Here is a 21,356-nt window from a genome sequence, read left to right as displayed (position 1 = left end):
CCCACAAAACAGAACCACCCTTTGGAGGTGGGGCCCATGAATCTGCATTCCTAAGTTTCTGGGTCAGGGACAACACCCTGAGATACACTGCTCTAAGACATCTAAAAGTGGTTTCAGTGTTTTCTTGAATCCAAAACTGTTTGCAGCACTAAAGTTGAACGTGCCTTTTGTTCAGGGGACACTGTAGCCACTACCAGATTTTCAAAGGTGACCATTCCACTGAGTGACTACAGGACTGCCCCCAGGACTTGGCCACTTTCCATAACGCTAGCCAGAGTGCAGTGGTAGCACGTCTTTATCTGAATAAATACTCATTTGCTGAACTCACATTTACTGCATCTTTTAGGGGAAAGGAATGAGAGTGAAGTGGCAGCCTTGGGAATGACATGGCTACCCACCACATCAGCAACTGTGTCTTCTTAAAGTTGTGTGCTCCCAAGCCCTCCTGAAATCTACTCCTGTCACCTAACTTCCAGATCCAGAACTGGTACCCAGGTATGCAATGCCCCGAGGTGTGTGTCTGAAGGAAGAGCAGTCACCATAATTACTCAGTTGTCTGCATTTCTAATGATGGCTACTTATTTGTCAGTCTGAGAATGATCATATGCCTTGATTGTAGTCACAGGTATTAAATGATTTTTGAGGATCTGCTATAAACTGATATTGTGTGAATTAAACAGAAAACTAACTTACTTGAGAAAACAAGTTGGTAGTAATGATTGGTTTTTTATTGTCACCCCTGCCCTGATACACTTACTGTTTATAATTACAAATAACTGCAACTCTCTGGGCAAGGCAAAGATTTCAATTGTTTAATGCCTTCACCATCACAGGCATCATGGCAAATTTTGGGTAGCGTATTTTTTTTCATTACAATAAGCCCATTTTAAACTGAGTCTAAGGCTGGGTACAGTGGCGTAATCCCAACACTCTGGGAGGCCAAGACAGGTAGATCACTTGAGGTCAGGAGTTCAAGACCAACCTGACCAACATGGTGAAACCGTCTCTACTAAAAATACAAAAATTAGCCAGGCATGGTGGCGCACGCCTGTAATCCCAGCTACTCATGAGACCGAGGCAGGAGAATCACTTGAACCCGGGAGGCGGAGGCTGCAGTGAGCCGAGATCACGCCACTGCACTCCAGCCTGGGCAACAAAGTGAGACTCTGTCTTGAAAAAATAAAAATAAACTGAATACAAATTCTTTAAAGTTCCTTAGGCTTTTTAATAAAGTAAATGTAAGTAATGCCACACACATACACACACAAATCCTGATTTATTCCCTGTTTCTCATACATCGTTGGCATTGTTCTACTTAAACAGCGACAGTGATGACTCCAAAAAAAATGTTTAGAATTAGAAGTGCATGTTAATCTGAGTAACTTAAGTACAGAAAAGAGTTAGTACACCACAAGCATTTTCTACACTTTTATTTTGTGGTGATTGTGAGACAAACACAGTCCAAACAATAGACTTCTTGTCCTCCCCCTCCCAACAACTATCTGACTCCATAGCTCATGCACCCCAATTACAGCAGGTGTCGGGCTGGCATAAAGGCTTCTTACCAGGATTCCAGTTTATCCTTCTCAATCCTTTTCTCATCTCTAACAAAAATGCCACACATACATGTAGTTGTGAGAGGCAAAGTCTTCTTTACACTCACCACCAGGGGGCGTATGGGAGCACAAAAGCCTCACAAAACTGCTCCAGGATCCTGCCTCTTCCAGGGCCGGAATCCGCGGCCTTCCCAGGAATCCTAACCTGGTCTGGGAAGGGGCATCACAAATAAGCTGGCACTCAGTCGTGTATTAAAAGGATCTCTAATGCTCCCTTTAAGACTTTCACTTCTACGCCATCTCTAACAGGGCCATGCAGGTCTCCATGAGATCAGGCTTTTTTGGTCCAGTGTTTCCCAGGTCTTTCCCTACACTGTTTCAGGCCACTTGGGTACCTTTCAGTGCAGACTGCTTCAGGCCAGAAAACCTCACTCCCACCTCTTTCACACTAATGAATTTAATCGGTAGCCAGCAGCCAGGGGAGTTGATGTGGAAGATGCTCTAAGAAGCATCCCCAATTAGCAAGCCTCAGCCAGAAACTACCTACAGGGAGCAGGAGGCCCTAGCGGGAGGCAGCCCACGCCTCATTATTCCTGTAGCAGGAAGGGACGTCCAGACGGGACTCCAGAGGTGATGGAAAGTGGGGGAGGCACAAAAGCAGCAAACAGCAGAAGGAAATGCCAGCAGCTGAGGCTCGGCAGCCAACAGCCACGACATTCAGCAATCTCAGTGTGACAAACAACACATCTGTAGCGTGCTGAGCATGACTGGGGCTCCTCAGACAGATCTGACACCCCTGTCCACCAGGAATCCCACCCATACCCGCACACAGACACACAACAGAGACATGGATGGACACGGGCACGCGCACACACACACACACACACAGCCTCAGTGATGACTTAGCACCTCACTGCCAGGAGTATCTTCTGTAACAGATATATGCATGTGTACATACAGCTCATGCACACACATCAGCACCCACTGCCTGCTCTGCTCCATGACAGTACTGGGAATTCCCCTGTGAATTACCCAAGAAACAAAGTGGGGGCCAGTGAGCAGCCGTGCTTAGCTTCCTTCATAAGCCCATCACCAGCACCTAGGTGTGTTTCCCCGGACTGAACAAGAAATTTTCCCATCTCTGGCCCCCTCCATTAGAAATGAAATCCGTTCTGGTTTTCTAAATCAGTCTGTAAACCATCCTGAGTCAACTCCTTGGGTCATTTTCTTGGGGCTCATTCACTCTAGCTCTAGAATGAAGGAATGGGGGTGGGGAAGACACACCCCATTTGATCTTACAAAACAGTAAAGATTAATGGGAAAGTGTTTTTAAAAAAAAAAAAACCACAAAGAAGCTCCCCACTCAGTAGCAGTTTTGCACATATGTACAATGAGTTTACCAGCCCATAAATATTTTTAACCAACACAACCTCATGCTGTGGTGTGTACAAGGGTCTGAGAGTATATGACTGGCTATCATTTCTTGCTCTGGGCGAGCGTTCGCCTCTTTGCATCTTCTTCTCTAAGTCACTATAAGGTGTCAGTGTCAATCATTACCCTCTCCAGGTCCTGCCGCAGGTGCGTGAACAGCTGCAGCCTCCTAAATAAGACATCCTGCTCCCGCTTGGCTAGATTGTCCTCTTCATCTTTCTTTGGGGTGATCAGGGGCTTGTTGAAGTTGACCTTCCTCTTCAACTTCCAGTACTGGTACAGGAAATCCACTACTTCCTCAGGCAGCCGCAGAGCCCTGGCAACATCCAGCAGGTTGACGAAGGTGTAGAACTCATCCTCCAACTGCTGCAGCTTCTGCTTACGGACACTCACCCGGTGGGCCTCCTCCCGGTTCTGCTCAAGGCTGGCAAAGGGCTCCAGCGGATTCCGGGGGGAACACTCAGGGGCCCCATTCTCCTGTGCAGCCCCCTTGCCAAGACTCTCCTCGGGTTTCCTATGTGAGCTGTGCTTTGGGCAATAGGACTTGAACTTGACTTCATCATTCTCTGCTAAGATGGTCTTCATCTCCAGGCCCCGGTCAAAAGCACAGGTCACATGGAAGGCTGTGCGGCAGTTCTTCACAGAGCACTGTCAAGAACACACAAAGAACATGAGAATAGACCATTATAGAGCAATGATGGCAGAAGGCCTGCAGTGCTAGGCACCCCATGTACACATGCACAGAGAAGAGCCATGCTTCAAGCATGTGCCATGACAGGAAAGTTGTACGTGGATTAACCCTGCAAGATCCTGTCATGTTTTAAAAGAGGTAAGGCTTGGAATTTTTTTTATAGAGATGAGGTCTCCCTATGTTGCCTAAGTTGGTCTCCAACTCTTGGGCAAAAGAGATCCGCCCATCTCAGCCTCCCAAAGTGCTGGGATTACAGGCGTGAGCCACTGCGCCCAGCCAAGTCTTGGAATTTAAGGGCCCTCTTCAAATGAAAGGTTTAATCAACCAAACCCTAACTTCCTCAGAAAAGTAACTGCATCCAAATCCCATCTTGGAGCAGACATGATTACACAAATGACATGTGTAGAGAAAGGAGGTGTGGCACTAGGATCATATTCAAAAGAATCTGTACTCAATATGCAAAGTCCACTTTCAGGCATTAACTTGGGTTTTCTTACAGATTTGAGCTCTTTTGGTGCAAACCTGAATAAGAACCTCCTTGGGAAGAATGACTACTACTCACAGTTTGAACATAAATCCTGACTCCCCAGCCAGGAAGAGTCCCAACACGAGTGAGAAAATGAACAGTGCACTTCCTTGAAGCAGCACGAAGGAGAAACTGAATAAAAACCCCAAAAAATAGGAGACAAGAGGAATCCAGCACAGGAAAGGTAGGGAAAGGTCTTCACACTTGCGAAGAAGCTTCACCAGATGCATGGAGGGCTCTGAGCCCTGAGATCGGTGCACGCCGATCCTGGCCACTGAAGAGAGGCAGGAGAACCGTGAAAGATCCTTCCCATGCGTCACAGGGAGGTCAACGTAGAGGCCAGGTATCAGCAACCTATGCAGAAGAACACTTCCCCTCTCACTGCCTAAACAGGGCCACAATTTAGTGCCTTTGATCCAGACAACAAGCCTCTGGTCTAGCAGGAGCAAAGTGATTAACTCCTCCTCCACTGATCTTGCTGAGCAAATCCCTAGAAGGTGGTTCCTCATGGTGACTGAAGCCAGTCCCTGAAAAGCAGCACTGCATTGTGTGAAGCCAAGTGATCACCGGGGCATGCCAGGGGCTGCACAGAGCTGTAGAATCCAGCGGCTTCAAGCCAACTGAGAAGTTGAATTCAACTCATTCAACAGATCCTGAATCACATCACCAAGGATGGCAGAGGCTAGAGCTGAGGCTTTCCCCCTAATCATTCCAGTATTTAAGAGGAAACTCACTGCCAACCAGGCTTTCTTCCATTACTATGAGGTCTCTTTTACTGAGAAGAGGAGAAAATCCAGCTCCCTTCACCATTCCACCCTTACAAACACTTCAACCACAGAGACTGACATAAATCTGTATTTTCTCTATAAATAACCTCAATTCTAAGAAATGTATGAAATCAGCTTTGGTGGCAGAACACACACACAAGCACGCACACATACACACCTGGCCACTGTCATGAGAAGACAAAGTGTCTTCCCTTGTAGCACACAGCCAAGTGGGAAGTAAAAGTGGGAACAGATGACTGAGACACTATCTGTGTTTGGCTTAAACTACACTTAACCCAAGCGCTCTAACCCTAAAGAGAAATGAACTGCAGCAGAATATTTATACAGGACTTTGTAAAAACGCCAAATGGCCTTCCTCTGGGTTTTCCCATTCAGGTTGACTCAGCAAACAGATGTTACAGAAACGTAAACCAGAGCCTTCACAGCTGCAGACATTTCAGAGAGGAATTCTTTTAATAAAATCAATCCATTCTGTGAAGATATGAAAAATCATCAGCCTTCTTTGGCCTCTTCTTTAGATTAATGTTCTGGGAAAAAGAGGTCAATGGCAACAAAAAAGTCATTATATCATCTCTCTTCAAAAGGGAAACAAAGATCCCATTCGCCCACCTCTTTTAAACATTAATTATGGACCAGATTGGCATACTCAGGCAAGGGCATAAATTCTACGCTCAGAACACCGGGGAATGTGGTCTGCTGCAGCCTGTTTCCTGCCAGTGCACACGTGCATACACATACTTACACACTCATACACATGCACACTCACACATACACGCATACTCACACACATACACATATACACGCATGCATACACACATACACAAGCATACTCACACGCATACACACATACACATGCATACTCACATGCATACTCATGTGCATACTCACGCACTCACGCGCATACACACATGCATACATATGCACACATGCATACACACGCATACGCACTCACGCATGCATACTCACACACATACACATTCACACACGCATACTCAAATACGCATACATGCATACAGCATACATATGCATAACCAAATACACATGCATACACACATACACATAACCACATGCACACTCACACCCCCACACATGCACACATATGCATGCTCACCCACATACGCATACTCACACACACACCCATACACACACACTCACACATGCATACACACACACACTCAAGTTCATCAGCTCCCTGCCCTTTTCTCTTCCTGCTCCACTCTTTCCTCCTCCTTCCCCAATCCAACTCGGGCCAGAGGCGTTTGTCATGTATTCACATGCCAAAAATATCTCCACTATTTCAAGGTCCCCAGCCAAATCCCACCAGCTGTCTCATGACCCACCCTCCAAATATTTCTGTTATATTTTGGATTCTTGAACACTAGTCAAAGTGATAAAGAAGAAAAGTAGAACCACTTGGCTTGTTAAAAAAATTTAAAAATAGCCAGGCGCGGTGGCTCAAGCCTGTAATCCCAGCATTTTGGGAGGCCGAGGTGGGTGGATCACGAGGTCAGGAGTTCGAGACCAGCCTGGCCAACATGGTGAAACCCCCATCTCTACTAAAAATACAAAAATGAGAATTAGCCGGGCTTGCTGGTGCGCGCCTGTAATCCTAGCTACTTAGGAGGCTGAGGCAGGAGAATCGCCTGAACCCGGGAGGCGGAGGTTGCAGTGAGCCGAGATGATGCCACTGCACTCCAGCTTGGGCGACAGAGTGAGACTCTGTCTCAAAAAAAAAAAAAAAAATTTTAAAACCACCTTCCCAAAAAGTATTTATCAGTCAAAATACAAACCGACTTTGCCAAATGAGGTCATTTCTTTAAAACCCATGGCTGACAGGATGACCATGCTCTCGGAGCTTATGTCTGTGCTGAGCTGCTTTGAGAAAGAAGCCATCCCAAAACAGTGCCTCTGCTCCCAGAATTCAATGAGGAAACCAAGGAAGAAGAGCCTGTGGCCTGTGCTAGTACATCCGAGAAGATCCAAACTTAACCTGAAGGGCCCCCATCAGCCACACAGCACTGCAGGCCTCTCTAATCCTGACTGTCTAGATGTCAATAATGTGAGGCCTAAAAACGAACTTCTCAGTAGGGTCTTAGACCACATGAAAAACAGCATGCCATCTATATTCCCTCCTTAATTCCCCTATCTCATGACATCCTATACTTGTCTGTACCTGGATATGCAAAAGCAGGCAGGCAACATGTTTACACACAGGTGTGCACGCACTCTTTCGCTCACGCTCACACACACACACACGTGCATGCGCGCCTGGTGCCATAAAGAATCAGACATCCAAATGATGCCCCAATGAGATGACAGCATACACAGGAACTCCTCACAGATGCCCCTCTACCCAGGCCGTGTTCAAAGAGTCTCTGTTTTTCCAACTGCAAATGCATTAGCATGTCCCCTTGATTACTAACAGATGTGCGCACACCATGGAAACCTGCAATCTCAGGAGGCCGCCACAGAGGTGGGCCAGGGTCTGCAGCTACACTCAGTGACTGCAGGTGGGAGGGTGGCCAACTCTCAAATGCCGTGTCAAGGAACATCTCACTAAGACTGCTAGGAGGTGTTGGCCTATGGAAAGAAGTTGCGATGCTAGACTTTGGGCAGAAAGGGTAGCGAGAGACAAACTGCAACCGCCTCACAGCTCAGGGGAACTTCTGAACTACCCTGTGACTGTGAAAGCTTGGGTTCTAGTTACACCGGATACAGTTAGCCTATTAAAGGTGTGTGTACTGGGGCTGGAGTCACCCCTTGGGAACCTCGTCCTGCTTCCTGGATTCTAGTCCCCTCTCCAAACCCTTGGACAGTTCACAGAGCCTTCCCTCATCCTGCTCCCCACCACGCAGGAAAGGAAAATGAAGCCATTCTTAGGAAGCTAATTACCTGTATAGAGGCCCCAAACTTCTCATTGCAGAGGCTGCACACTAGCGCCCACCGGCTGCTGGGAATGTGTGACACCTTGGTGATGGGCTCCATCTTCTCTGGGCTGCCAATGCTCACCTAAAGGTCGGAAAACAGCAAGACAGGGTGGCTCAGGTCGTCAAAGGCTGAACATGAATGTCAGAAACTAAAAGATCCATTACTTTCCTACATCTCTCCTACCAGACAGTGGCAAGGGGCACCCACTCAAAGCAAACCCTTACTTTAAAAGCCTCAGAACAGCCCCAGTGACAACTGAGCTCACAGCCCAGTCCCCATCTGACAGACATCCCTGTCTGTCAAAAACACTTAGATAACTGAGTTTTCACTTCTCACCGGAGCGTCTGATGACAAAGAGTCATGTACCAGGACAATGCCGTCTATAATCTCTAGCTCATAACAAATTGGTGAAGACTAAAAATCCATCTTAAATCGATTCAAATAGGTTGTCAACAACAGGGTAAGTAAATATAACCTGTTTTTAATCTCTCGCCAAAAAAAACCATTTTCTTCAGTCTGAAACATGACTACATTCAAGATGGGAAATTACAAAGATAAATAAGGTATCATCTCTGCATTCAGCCTGGATCACCGAATTGTATCCCATCAATACCAAACCACGAGACTCAGTGCTACCAAGACCCGAATCATGAAACCTCAATCCAAATCATCCTCAAATAATATTCCCCAAGAGGAAAATGTACCAAAATCACACCCAAAACATGCTGGAATTTGAATAGCAAATTATATTCTCACACTGAGCTATGCAAATTATATTAGTCAAGGTCTGAGACTAGAAATAAATTAGACCAGACCTGAAATTAAAAAGGTTGAGGCACAATAAGAGTTTAAATAAAAATCACCAAAGTATGCCTAAGAGTGGTGGTTTTTTAACCATGGTGGTGCCTCAACTCAAGTACAGCTTGCCACACACAGGATGTACAGCTGATCCTTGGGGAATGACACACCCAGGCCACAGCTGTTTAAGTGCTACAGGTCTGCTCCTGAGAGTGAGAGTCGCGATGGGAAGGCTCACTGTGATGGCTGGGTGACCACCACTAACTTCCAGTCCCAAGTGACTGCTGCTTCCAGCTAACATTTCCATGAATCTACATTCCATGACAAGATGAGAGTGTGCTTAAGATTCAGTTTTTCCTCAAGGAAAAAGGTAGCAACTAAAAGGTATCTTTTTACTCATAGCTGCAATGCTGCCTATTTATGCATGGTTCTCCACCCACCCACTAAATCCCAGTTAAAAGCCAGGACCTTCTGAGCTAAGGTGCTATTAAAAACCATGCTTGACCAGGCACAGTGGCTCACGCTTGTAATCCCAACACTTTGGAAAGCCAAGGAAAGAGGACTGCTTGATCCCAGGAGTTTGAGACCAGCCAGGTCAACAAAGTGAGATCCCCTCACTACAAAAAATAAAAAATAAGCTGGGCCTGGTAGCACATGCCTATAATCTCAGCTACTCAAAAGGCTGAGGTGGGAGGATCACTTGAGCCCAGCAGGTCAAGGCTGCAGTGAGCCATGATCCAGCTCACTGCACTCCAGCCTGGGCGACAGAGTTAAACTCTGTCTTAAAAAAAAGTAAAAACAACAAAAAAAGAACCACACGTACCTCAGGGATCCACAGAGCACAGCTAACGTGGACCCACTTGGTTCCGCTACGGGTGGGCTTCATAGCTCCACCCTTCTTCGGACACAGCAGACATTTTGGCTGAACCCCCAGGGCACATGTCCGGCACAGCCAGCTGCCCTCTGGTACCTTGAGGATTCCATAACAGGCCTGTGATGCCACGGCACATCCCAGAGGAATAGAGAGAAAGAGAAAATGTTATTTTTCCCATTATATCTATTCATTTTAAACACTTAGAAAGATTTTAACAGAACTACCACCAAAGCAGAGACGCTCCCACAGCTTCCTGGCTACGACCGTCTCCCCTCGGGAAAATGCCCGGCAGCCTCACAGGAGCATTTAGGAGGTGAATATGTATTCATAATAGAGGTGAGCTCTGCTGACACAATACATATTTATTTAGCAGAGGGTGGTCCTGGAAACTACTTGAGGACAGAAAGGTTTAAATGAAATCTGCTTTGCTGTGTTGCCGCAGAAACCCATCCATACCAAGTTTCTAAATATTGAGCAGTAAGTCCTCAGTAAGTCCTCGAAACACTCCACAGGGTTCCGTGAGAGAAGCTATTTCTCTACTTTACTGACAGAGGTGGGGTGGAATACAGAGTGTGGAGAAAAAGCATACAGCAGCTGAGAGAATCTCCCAAAGCTGCTGAATGAGATGGCAATGGAACAGGAGAGAAGCATGCACACTCCCTAGGCTAAGCAAACTCCATACCAACTAGATCCCAGCACTCTCCCAGTGAACAAAACAGGGCAGAAAAAGGAGACCTTCTACACAGGAAGAATGTCGTCTCCTTAGCTGGTATTTAAAACAAATTCAGCCTTTCAGAAATGGAGACAAAAAAAACAATTTAAATTAAAAAATAAAACAAAGCCTGTTTTGTACAAGATGGCAAAATTAAACAAGATGGCATAAACTGCAGAAATCAAGGCTATTACAACTAAAGTAATTAAGACAGTTCAAAGACAGAAAAGGTTAATGTTAAATAACTGAATAAATAAAAACCACGATGGTACCAGGAGCATATTCAGAGAGCCCTTTAAAAACCCAACTGTTCAGCACTTTATTCATAAATGACCTGGAAGTCAGGAAGTCGAGAGTCACAGTAGCATAGCTCTAATTCTTCAGACAGAAAAAACACAGCCACTATGCAATCTGAATACCCACGACGATGCAAAGAGGAAACCACAAGGATGAGAGTTGAGCAAAGAAAAGTCACACTTCAGATGGAAGCCTCAGAGTGCTGTTTGGGGGCCATAAATAAGCTACCGTCAACGCAGACTTACTAGAAAAAAATTTTTAATGGAGTTAAGTGACACTATAAAGGTTTCAAAACACTAAAGGTCTGTATCAGACATTCTACAGCCACATGTGAAGGAAGAAATTTTTTTCCTGGAAAAGCAGGTCTAAATTAATTTAGGAGATTACATAAAGTATGCCTTAAAGATAAGCCATGAAGGATTTCTCAAAGGAAAAATGAAGTAAATGTTGAGGAAAAGAGAAAAGGTGATATGGCAGAAAGAAGAGAAGGTGAGAAGGGGGCATCCAAAAGCCTTAAGTTACAACTCTGCCACACGTCCACCGTGAGAGCTTGCACAAGCCTGCCCTGACATCAGTTAACTCACTGATAACACAGGGGTTGACCAGTTTTCAAGCAGAAAGCTTTTACTCAAAAAAATTTTTCATGGGGAAAAAAATAGCAAGTAAAGACAAGAAAAAGACTGAGAAGTCAGCCAAGTAAATACATGAAGCACCAGCAACCAAAAAAGCAACACTGGTCATCAGGATGCTCATGTCACAGAACAAAGCCACCACAGGAATTCTCACTACCGTAAGGAGACTTCCCAGACAGTGTGAGATCCAGAGCAACAGACGGCGATGACTGAAGCAGGAGTCGCAGGTCTCCCTATCAAGGAGCCAGGACTGGGCCACAGCTGGGGAGGTCTTCAGACAGAGGGAAAGCCTAGGAGGTCACAAATTATGAAGCAAAGGGTAATCAAGAACTTCATGGAGCAAACGTGCTTCTTCTTCCCAAGAAGTCACCAAGCACCTATTCCATACAAGTCTTTCTTTTAAGTTTGCTTTAAATCTCAGCATCAACAGGTGAATTTAAAGAAAGTACTTCAGGATAGCCTTTTAAATCCTAAGAATATACGTGGGCACATGTCCCCACCCAAATCCAAATTTCTTCATTACTGCATTAAAAACTAAATAAAAAAGAGGCACTGAGATTGTCATAAACTTTTTAAGTTACCTAGCGCCCATCCTCCTGAAATCTAAGGGTTTCCCTTTCTGTGGATGGTAGCAAGCAATCACCAAAACCTACTGTCCTGTTTTTTAAGACAGGAAATCGTCTTCAGGAAAAGGGGCTGCTTTCCTCTAACAGCTCAGCTTATACCCTAACACATGCTCACAAATATGACGGCAAATTGTGTCCTCTAAAAGACATGTTGAAGTCCTAACTCCAAATATCTCAAAATGTGACCTTCTTTAGATTTAGAAGTAGTCATTGCAGATGTAATTATTTAAGATGAGCTCACTCTGAAGTAGGGTGGGTCTCTAGTCCCATACGACTGGTACCCTTCTAAGAAGACCGCCATGTGGACCGGGCACGGTGCCTCACACCTGTAATCCCAGCACTTTGGAAGGCCAAGGTGGGCGGATCATGAGGTCAGGAGTTCGAGACCAGCCTGGCCAACATAGTGAAACCCCATCTCTAGCCAGGTGTGGTGGCACACTCCTGCAGTCCCAGCTACTCGGGAGGCGGAGGAGGAAGAATCACTTGAACCCAGGAGGCGGAGGTTGCAGTGAGCCAAGACCACGCCATTGCACTCCAGCCATCTCAAAAAAAAAAAAAAAGAAGACCACCATGTGAAGACAGAGACACAGGGAGAACACACATGATGATGAAGGCAGCCGCGAGCCAAGGAATGCCCAAGATTGCCCAAATCACCATAAGCTACGAAGAGGCAAGGAAGGGCTCTCCTGCATGTTTCAGAGGAAGCACAGCACTGCCACCACCTCAATTCTGGACTTTTAGTTTCCAGAACCACAAGACAATACATTTTTGTTGTTTTAAGCACACACAGTCTGTAGTAATTTGTCTGTTCCACAGGGCAGCTGTAAGAAACTAATACAGCACACTAACCACCTTTTCAAAGGTTTGTTTTCTCAGTGTTCTTAATACCTAAATTTAAGTGTTACAGTAGGACAGAGGGGGCTCATACATTCTTTTTAAGTAAACTTGACTTTTATGGATAAGAATAAAACACTGTGAAGAAAGACGATTTCCACAGAGGGTGCTATCCTTCTGGCTGCAAAAGCAGAGGATATATTTCAATCACTGTAAGAACCTACTAGGGAAAAATAAAGTCTATAGGGCACATTTCTTTAAATCGTAGAAACACAGACCCCATTCGGAGGAAGAATCCTGGACTCCAGGCATACACTCCCACAGCAGACAGGCTCATGCCCCAGGTTTCTTCTTTCTGGCCTCCCTGCCCCACATACCTGGTGCACACAGATGTTGCATTTGTCACAGAACACCATCTCATTGCCGTCCTCACCATCAGGAGACTGGCAGACATCACAGACAACATCTTCATCATATTCGATCCCCAGGCCTTCCTCAGTCTCTATGGCATGATTCATATTGTCGTAGCATCGCTGCTCAAATTCCTCTAGGACCCTCTCCATGGTGTATTCATCTAGTTCAGGCATTCCTGAAGTTAAAAATGCCACAAAACCCATTTTAATAAATCCATATTAATAAATATTACAAAATAGTACTGGTTTATTTATACTTAAAAATAATGTATAATGAATAAATAATTGTACAATAAATAAATCCAATCACTGGCCAGGCGTGGTGGCTCACATCTGAGCCCAAGAGCTCAAGGTCAGCCTGGGCAATATAGTGGAACCCCATCTCTACAAAAAATATGAAAATTAGCCAGACGTGGTGGCACACACCTGTAGTCCCAACTACTCAAGAGCCTGCGGTGGGAGAACTGCTTGAGCCCAGGAGGTTGGGGCTATAGTGAGCCATGACTGTGCCACTGTGATCCAGGCTGAGTGACATAAGACCGTGTCTCAATCTATCAATCAATCAACCCATCGATGCATCCATCTCTGAGGGCCCCAAAATTTTTTATTAAATGCTTATCAGATCCTTCTAAGAAACAATCTTCAAAGGGGAGAGTCTTCCAGGAAACTGTTATTTTCCTATGGTCAGGTAGTGAAGATGCAGTGTAGTAAATGGAAAAGCAAAAGGTAAATTTTAAAAGGATTCAAGGATATTAAATACATACATTGTTGAATAAGTCATTTCATTATACTCATTACACATAACAACTAACACGTAAGTGACTTCAAAACCATGACTTCATATAATGGTATGGATGTTTTTAAAAATTTGCCTTTCTTGGTAGGTAAAACAGTTCTCTCAAAACAGATTTCACTTTGGGCACTCAAATATTTTTAAATGGTTTATCCCTCCTCATCCTCTTACTTCTACAAGGTTGAAAAACATAGTTAACCAAATGCAAAAAAGACTGAAACACCAGGCGCGATGGCTCATGCCTATAATCCCAGTACTTTGCAGGTAGATCATTTGAGGTCAGGAGTTCACGACCAACCTGGCCAATACGGCGAAATCCTGTCTCTACTAAAAATACAAAAATTAGCCAGGCATGGTGGCAGGTGCCAATAATCCCAGCTACTTGGGAGGCTGGGGCAGGAGAATCGCTTGAACTCAGGAGGTAGAGGTTGCAGTCAGCCGAGATTGCACCCCTGCACTCCAGCATGGGCCACAGAGCGAGACTTCATCTCAAAAAAGAAAGAAAAAAAGACCAATAACAGCTAAGACAAACATATTTAAGCATGCGTTCCGTTTATGTTATAAAATTACAAAATTAATCTTGCCAATGTATTCAACAGTATCTTCAAATATGGATTAGCCCAGTTCTTATTATTTAAACCATTCATAAATGCGAAGAGTCTTTGGGCTGAGTCCTCTGACTTAACACAGGACACCTAGATTCCAGTCAAGTGTATTACACTGGTCTTTATAATGTGCTTACAACACAGCAGAAACTGTATCATCTGTGAAGCTAAAATTTAGTATTCAATTCCAAAAGATCTCTGAGAACTCCTGAACTCATGCCATAAAACCACCTTGTGGCCTGCTAATGTTTTGGCCATTAATACCTAAAGCAGGACCAAGAAGAAGGAAGTCTATTTTGTCTATAAAAACACTTGAGTAACTGAGCGAGTAGAAGACAACACCATGCTCAGCTCAGTCTACATTATCACTCCCATTCAACAGGTGGTGAGCCTAATGGCAGGACAAGCATCTACTGCAAGCCACACCCTATGCTACGTTCCCTGGAAAGACGCAAAAGGTCTTGGCCCTTCAAGGCTGTGAAATCCACCATGACAAAAATCTTGTGATTTTTTTTTTTTTTTGAGATGGAGTCTGGCTCTGTTGCCCAGGTGGGAATGCAGTGGCACAATCCCGGCTCAAGGAAACCTCCACCCCCTCAAGTGACTTGAGAAGAATCACCTCAAGTGATTCTTCTGCCTCAGCCTCCTGAGTGGCTGGGACCACAGATACCCACCACGACGCCTAGCTAATTTTTGTATTTTTAGTAGAGACGGGGTTTCACCATGTTTGCCAGGCTGGTCTTGAAGTCCTGACCTCAGGTGATCTGCCCACCTTGGCTTCCCAAAGTGCTGGGATTACAGACATGAGCCAACAAGCCCGGCCGATCTTGTGATTATTTACTATGTCCTAGATTACAATACATGGCCCTTGCCACCACCTCCCCACCGTGTACCTACAGCACAAAAGCTAATTAATCCTCACAGTTTTTCACACTGAGCCCAGACTTGACTCCACTGTCTTGTTCATCAAGACCCTCAAGGCAACCCTTAGCAATCAGGACTGGCATGTGAGATGAGACCTATACGCCATCCCAGTCTCAACACCATGAGATGCTCCAACGTCTACATACGCTAAAATGAGCTTGCAGAAAAGAGGTGGAGAAGGGCTGGGCACACAGCTAATGTCAGGCTTCACTGAAGGAAAGCCAGGACAGAGATAAACGGAGGGAAAAAGAACTCCAGGTTTGCAGCATGACATAAGGAAAATCGCTCAAGTTAAAACACACATGATGTGCTTGGAAATGGGGAGCATGCCTGGAAGAGTGTTCATTTAGAGAAGCAGCAAACCACGGCTAAAGAAGGAATCCGAATGGCATCACAGGAAAAAAACACTAGAGCAGGTAACTGTGGGCCATGCCCTTTTGTCACTTCGTTTCCCTGGACTTCAGCTTCCTTAAGGTAAGTGAATGAGGGAGTTAGATCAGAGCGGGGATGGGAATCCCTGGTGCCTGAGCCGAGGAGCCTTGCTTCCACTCTGAAACCATCTCAGCACATCTGACACAGCCAAACAGGCTGAGATCTAAGGCAGGGCTGCGATTCTCACTGACTAAAGCTATGATGGAGCTGCCTGCAACTGGCAATAAGGAGCTTTCTGCTACTCACCTACCTGCCTAAAATGTCTCTATTCATCATTGGTTAATAAAATAATAGAATACATGGTCTCTCACCCATCTCCTTAAATTCTTCATTGGTCAGTTCCAGCCATGCAGCATCCATGTCATTGAGGTCATAGCGACACACGCTGTCAGCCAGCGTCCGGATGTCCACATAGCCCAACTCGGGAGGCTCAGAGCCTGATGACACGATGTACTTCTTGGGCCTGATGAACATGAGGGATTTCTCTTCAGACACAACCCTGGATAATAAAAAAACAAGGCAGCCAGGTTACCCTTTCAGCCACAGACAATGAAGTGTGCCACAAGGCCCCAAATGTCTTCCTCTTCCAACCCTTAGAGCCCCAGGTCATCACCAGAGGCTGAAAACCTGAATGTCACTGCTAATAAAACCTTAACTAGAAGTTGTTAAAGCCTGCTAACAGGCAATAGATACAAATGAAAACACTGTAGAAGCCTTCAAAATCTGCTTCCCGGGACCCTGCTGTGCCCTGCCCACCACCTCTGACCACTCTGGCCTGCAGCCAACACCAAAACACACTGACCCATACATTTCAAGAGTTAGTCATTAAATCACTTTCCCTTAACCAGACCTGCCCATCCCTGCTGGAGGCCATTAGAACCAGGGCACCACACAGGCAGGGCAGGCGCAGCAGACTCTGAGAACCAGAGGGAGAAACCCGCCAACCCTCACACCTCACAAAAAAAAAGAGGGAGAGAGGGAAAAGAAAATCAGGCCTTGGGCTGGGGCAAGGTGGCCCAAGCCTGTAATCCCAGCACTTTGGGAGGCCGAGGCAGGCGGATCATTTGAGGTCAGGAGTTTGAGACCAGCCTGGCCAACACAGTGAAACCCCATCTCTACTAAAAATACAGAAATTAGCCAGGTATGATGGCACACGCCTGTAACCCCAGCTACTCGGGAGGCTGGGGCAGGAGAATTGCTTGAACCCAGGAGGCGGAGGTTGTAGTGAGCCAAGATTGCACCACTGCACTCCAGCCTGGGCAACAGAGTGAGACTGTCTCAAACGCAAACAAAAAAAAGGAAATAAGACCCCGGCCATTACCAAAAAATCTAAGAAACAGAGTCCCAGCCAAGAAGGGGACTGACTCTCCCAACATATACCCATGATCCCAGGAACAAAAGCACAAGTTTCTCCTCCTGGTACTGCCACACAATCTCTCCCGACCTTTAACACCTGGAGTGGTGCCTTCCAACTCACCCCACTCAAAATAAGACTGCATGTGCAAGAGCAAATCACTCCCGACTTGGAACCAAAAAAAGGCCATCTTCCTAATCACAGACCCCAGGCCTCAACAAAGTCCTTCCACATATGCATTTCCACAGTTTAAATTACTGTCAACAGGCTGCCCAGAGTCTGTCAGAGTACCTTCATCACCCTTATATTACGGGAGTGATTTTATCTACGTGACACTGACATGGACAAACTGAAGGGATTTATTTCTCCTACTCAGCCAAGAGCAGGGATCCAACTTGCTCAGGGCTCCAACTTTAATACAGCTTGTAAAACTTCCACAAGCTGTATTAATGCTCACTTCTGTCCTGGCTCCCCACTGAAAGTGAAGCATTCAGCAAGTGATTCCTGGACTGGGGCTGCCAGTGCTGAATCAGGTGATGCTGCATCTCAGACACAGGCTCTGAGGCAGATACCTGGTCTGCCCCGCAGGGCCCCATGACCACTCCATTCCACAGGTCCAGACTCTAGCCTGTGGGGGCCATCCTGGCACTCCTGACTGGTCACCTAAACCTGAGTAAGACAGGGGCATTTGTCACCACTGGATAGACTCCCCAGAGATCCCAAAATGACAACTCAAATTTGATAATCTTAAGTGCCCAAAAAAAGAGACACAAAGTGGGTGAGGGCCAGGAAGCAAGTTCAGTAATGACTCAGCGTGGAGAAAGACACTATTTCGCAAAGCAGCAGCCAACTGATGATGGCGGAGAAGCCAGGTGCCGGCTGAGCACAGAGGGCACTCAAGCCTCCCTCCTAACAGGACTCTCCAGGTGGCACAGAGTGGCACAGTGAGGAAATGAGTAAACTAGCTGCAACCTGATTGTGAGGAGAGTCGGCAGGGACTCGACCCTGAGGGATCCTTAAAGATAAGTCAGTAAATCCAGAGAACGTACCCCAAGAATAATGTGACCAGTCAAAATAAATCCCTCCAAAACTCCCCTCTCCACAAACCCTAACTGACAGGTCTCCTAACACCTGTCCTCCTCCAAAGGCAGAGGCAACCGCAGTAGGCAGAGCAGCTGCCCGCGCTAGTTCCCAACAAAGCCAGATGCTTCTCTCCAGGAGAGCCACTCTCCAGAGCGAATACGGAGGGCAGGAAAAGAGGATGCAGACGTGTGAACACCCAAATTTTCCTCCCCTAGCCCATCACTTCCCAGGATGTCTTGGAATTTGCCTTCCTCTCATAAGAAAGCAGCACCTCCCCACAGTGGTGGCTGTAATGTTAAGTTTGGAGGCTCATGGCCCTCAAAACCACTACCCTGTATGCCTGAAGTATGTTGCTCCTGAATTTCTATTTCCACTTGAGGCCTCATGATATTTTAATGCTAACTCAGAAACTGTCTCTTCCCACAGAAATTGTCTCTTCTCAGATGCCTGCTGTCAGGGAAGAAGAGCAAGGGTGGGTGGAGAGGCTTCTGTCCTCAGGGCATCTCTACCTGGCCACAGGCTGAGGGATGGTCCCCGGGCTCACAGGCACCTGGACCCCTTTCTCCCATTCCTGTCTCCAGGGATCTGCCAACACATAGTACTCATCCGGATTCAGCTGGTAGGAGTCATGCAACTTCATGGCAGTGATCAGGTCTGTCCTAAACACCTGGAAAGGAAGAGAAAGGGACACTGACATTTGATATTTGCATTCTTATTCAGAGTGCTGGCAGCTGCAATGTAACCATGGAGCTGCCATGTAACAAGGTCACTGTATCAACATAGAACAAGCCTGACCTATTACAGAAAAACTTTGCCTGACACGCCTTTTACCTCACTCAGGCATGGGGGGTGGCAGTGCTGAGGGAACACTGCCCTCTCACTCCCTCAGTCCATAGTGTCCACAACAACGTCAACAAAAACAACAAAAAATCTTGTTGTCCGCCTCTGAAAAATGTCTCTCAGTTCACCAAAAGGGCTGCTGAAAACATGTACCTGGAAATCTCTGAAGGGAGATACTGCACTCAAGGGTGCTCTAGAAATATAACTCCACTAACCATGTAACAACTTCAAGCCAAAACCCAGAACCACCAGGGACTCATCTCCTTTTTTTTTTTTCTGAGATGGAATCTTGCTCTGTCACCCAGGCTGGAGTGCGGTAACACAGTCTTGGCTCCCTGCAACCTCTGCCTCCCAGGTTCAAGCTATCCTCCTGCCTCAGCACCCCCGAGTAGCTGAGATTACAGGTGCACGCCACCACGCCCAGCTAATTTTTGTGTTTTTAGTAGAAACAGGGTTTCATCATGTTGGCCAGGCTGGTCTCAAACCATTGAGGTCAGGACCTCAAATGATCTACCTGCCTCGGCCACCCAAAGTGCTGGGATTACAAGCATGAGCCACTGCTCCTGGCCAGGGACTCACCTTCTATAATGAGACTGCCCCCACCCAGGCCCTACCTCCCAGGGCACCAGGGTTTATGGTATGGTAGCTGGTGAAGTCAAGGTCTGGGCTGGCCTAGAAAAATCTGGAAGAGAAGCAACCACAGGCCACTGGGTTGATGGGCCTGCAAAAAACATGTTTGCACACCTTCACCTGGCAAAACTTCTACCTGGGAAGAGTTATTTGTGGGGAAAGGAAATAGAGAAAGTCACTACCCTCTCCCCACTCTGCCAAAAACAGGCAGATCCAACAGTGCCCCTCTACCGAGAGAGCTCCCCAATTCCTTATCACAGGCCAAATGAAGGAAACCACAGGAAAGGCAGCCATCCCAGTGCCTATGCCACTGCAGACTCCTGGGCCTGTGGCATTCATCCTTGGTCAGTGAGGCCTGCCCCTGGGGTGGAGCACAACACCGCCTCCCAGCCAGGGCTGCACAGCTGGCTCCCTCTCAAGCCTCGTCCTTGGCCCACTGGTGTCTAAGGCTGCATAAGAAAGCTCTGACCTTGACATCAGGACCAGCCCAAAGTTGTGTTTGGCATCGAGCAAGCTTGCATCTGTAAGCTGCCCTGTCTGTTTACACAAGTCACAATGCTGAACTCTCTTTTCTCAGGACAGGGAGTTCTTTCTTGTGCTACTAAGCACAGTTCACATCATACGCCTGCTAATAGGTCCATATTTGTTTTTCCTGGTGGCTTTTCAGGCTAGTGATCACTTTAATAAACTTCCCCATAATAAAGTCTGAGGCAGTGTCTGAATAAAGAGGCCATTTCTCCTGCCTGTCATTTTCCATACGGACTATTCCCCAGTATGCCACTCTTCATTTCTAAAGACCTATTAACAAGCAAGAATTAGGCCATGCACCTCCCACAAAAATCACGTGTAATACCAGGATCCTTCCCTTCAAGCATAGAGCCGCAGAAGCAGGTGCCCAGCCCAGTGGACACCAACTCCCTGGCCCCCAAGAGAAAAGTACTTTAAAACCTAAGAGATGGGCCTATACCTTCAAGAGCCAATCAGGTAAAAACATATTCCAACTAACTGATATAAATAAAAAACAAAGGAGTTTGCCAAAAAAGAAAGAAAATCAAACTGAAGCAATGAAATGAAAAAAAGGCAGCCTGCTATTCCTTTGCTCAAAGACTCAGTCAAGAACTGAAACAAAGGCCCTCAAATGGACGTCAACTCTGGAGTCTCTGGTAGAGTATGTTAGTGCCATACATATAGTTTGGACTCAGGGTTGAGAAAAACATCTGGACCAAAATGTAGGGCTGGGACAAAGCCAGCACAGCAACCCGTGCTGCTGGGCCCCCTTCTCCATGCTTGGTGTCACTGCTGGAAGTAGGTTTCGAACTACACCACTGGGGACCAGCCCTCGTCACACCAGGTCACAGCTGCTAAGTCCCCCTTGTATTCCTGTGCTGAAGTAACAGGAGTTTAGTGTGAACATCAGAAAGGTATTTTGGGGGTTACAGACACAGCACAAGGAATTAAGAAATAAAGAGCAGCAGAGACACTCCTTGGCAAAGAAAAGGAAGAGAGCACTAAAGGTTCAAAGGAAAAAAGGCCTGAAATAAAGTAAGGGGAAGAAGTGGCTACCTTCCCAAGTACATTTGATCTCATGC

General features: G+C 46.3%; 1 protein-coding gene across 15 annotated transcripts in view, besides 1 other annotated feature; it reads right to left on the bottom strand.

The window, feature by feature from the left end:
- The window catches only part of JADE1 (jade family PHD finger 1), a 65,525-nt gene that overhangs the window by 9,886 nt on the left and 34,283 nt on the right, over positions 1 to 21,356 (bottom strand). For 12 of the 15 annotated variants that reach the window (NM_199320.4, XM_017008626.3, XM_024454219.2 and 9 more), the window contains exons 4-9: positions 18,807 to 18,964; positions 16,172 to 16,359; positions 13,071 to 13,282; positions 9,542 to 9,709; positions 7,885 to 8,001; positions 3,114 to 3,635 (exon numbers count right to left, since the gene is read on the bottom strand). In NM_199320.4, the coding sequence (NP_955352.1) occupies positions 3,114 to 3,635; positions 7,885 to 8,001; positions 9,542 to 9,709; positions 13,071 to 13,282; positions 16,172 to 16,359; positions 18,807 to 18,964 (1,365 nt within the window). Of the gene's footprint in view, positions 1 to 706; positions 3,636 to 7,884; positions 8,002 to 9,541; positions 9,710 to 13,070; positions 13,283 to 16,171; positions 16,360 to 18,806; positions 18,965 to 21,356 lie in introns of those variants that run through there. The other 3 variants (NM_024900.5, NM_001287441.2, NM_001287437.2) reach the window with 2 other exon arrangements.
- Positions 2,023 to 2,072: an enhancer, noted in NCBI's record as "active region_21899". NCBI's record gives its function as "activates an Ori minimal core promoter by ATAC-STARR-seq in GM12878 lymphoblastoid cells {active_cell/tissue: GM12878}" and the evidence as "EXISTENCE:reporter gene assay evidence [ECO:0000049][PMID:35858748]".

This window comes from Homo sapiens, chromosome 4 (genome assembly GCF_000001405.40).
Source record: "Homo sapiens chromosome 4, GRCh38.p14 Primary Assembly".
Taxonomy (NCBI): Eukaryota; Metazoa; Chordata; class Mammalia; order Primates; family Hominidae; genus Homo; species Homo sapiens.
This window is presented reverse-complemented; position numbering and strand designations above follow the sequence as displayed.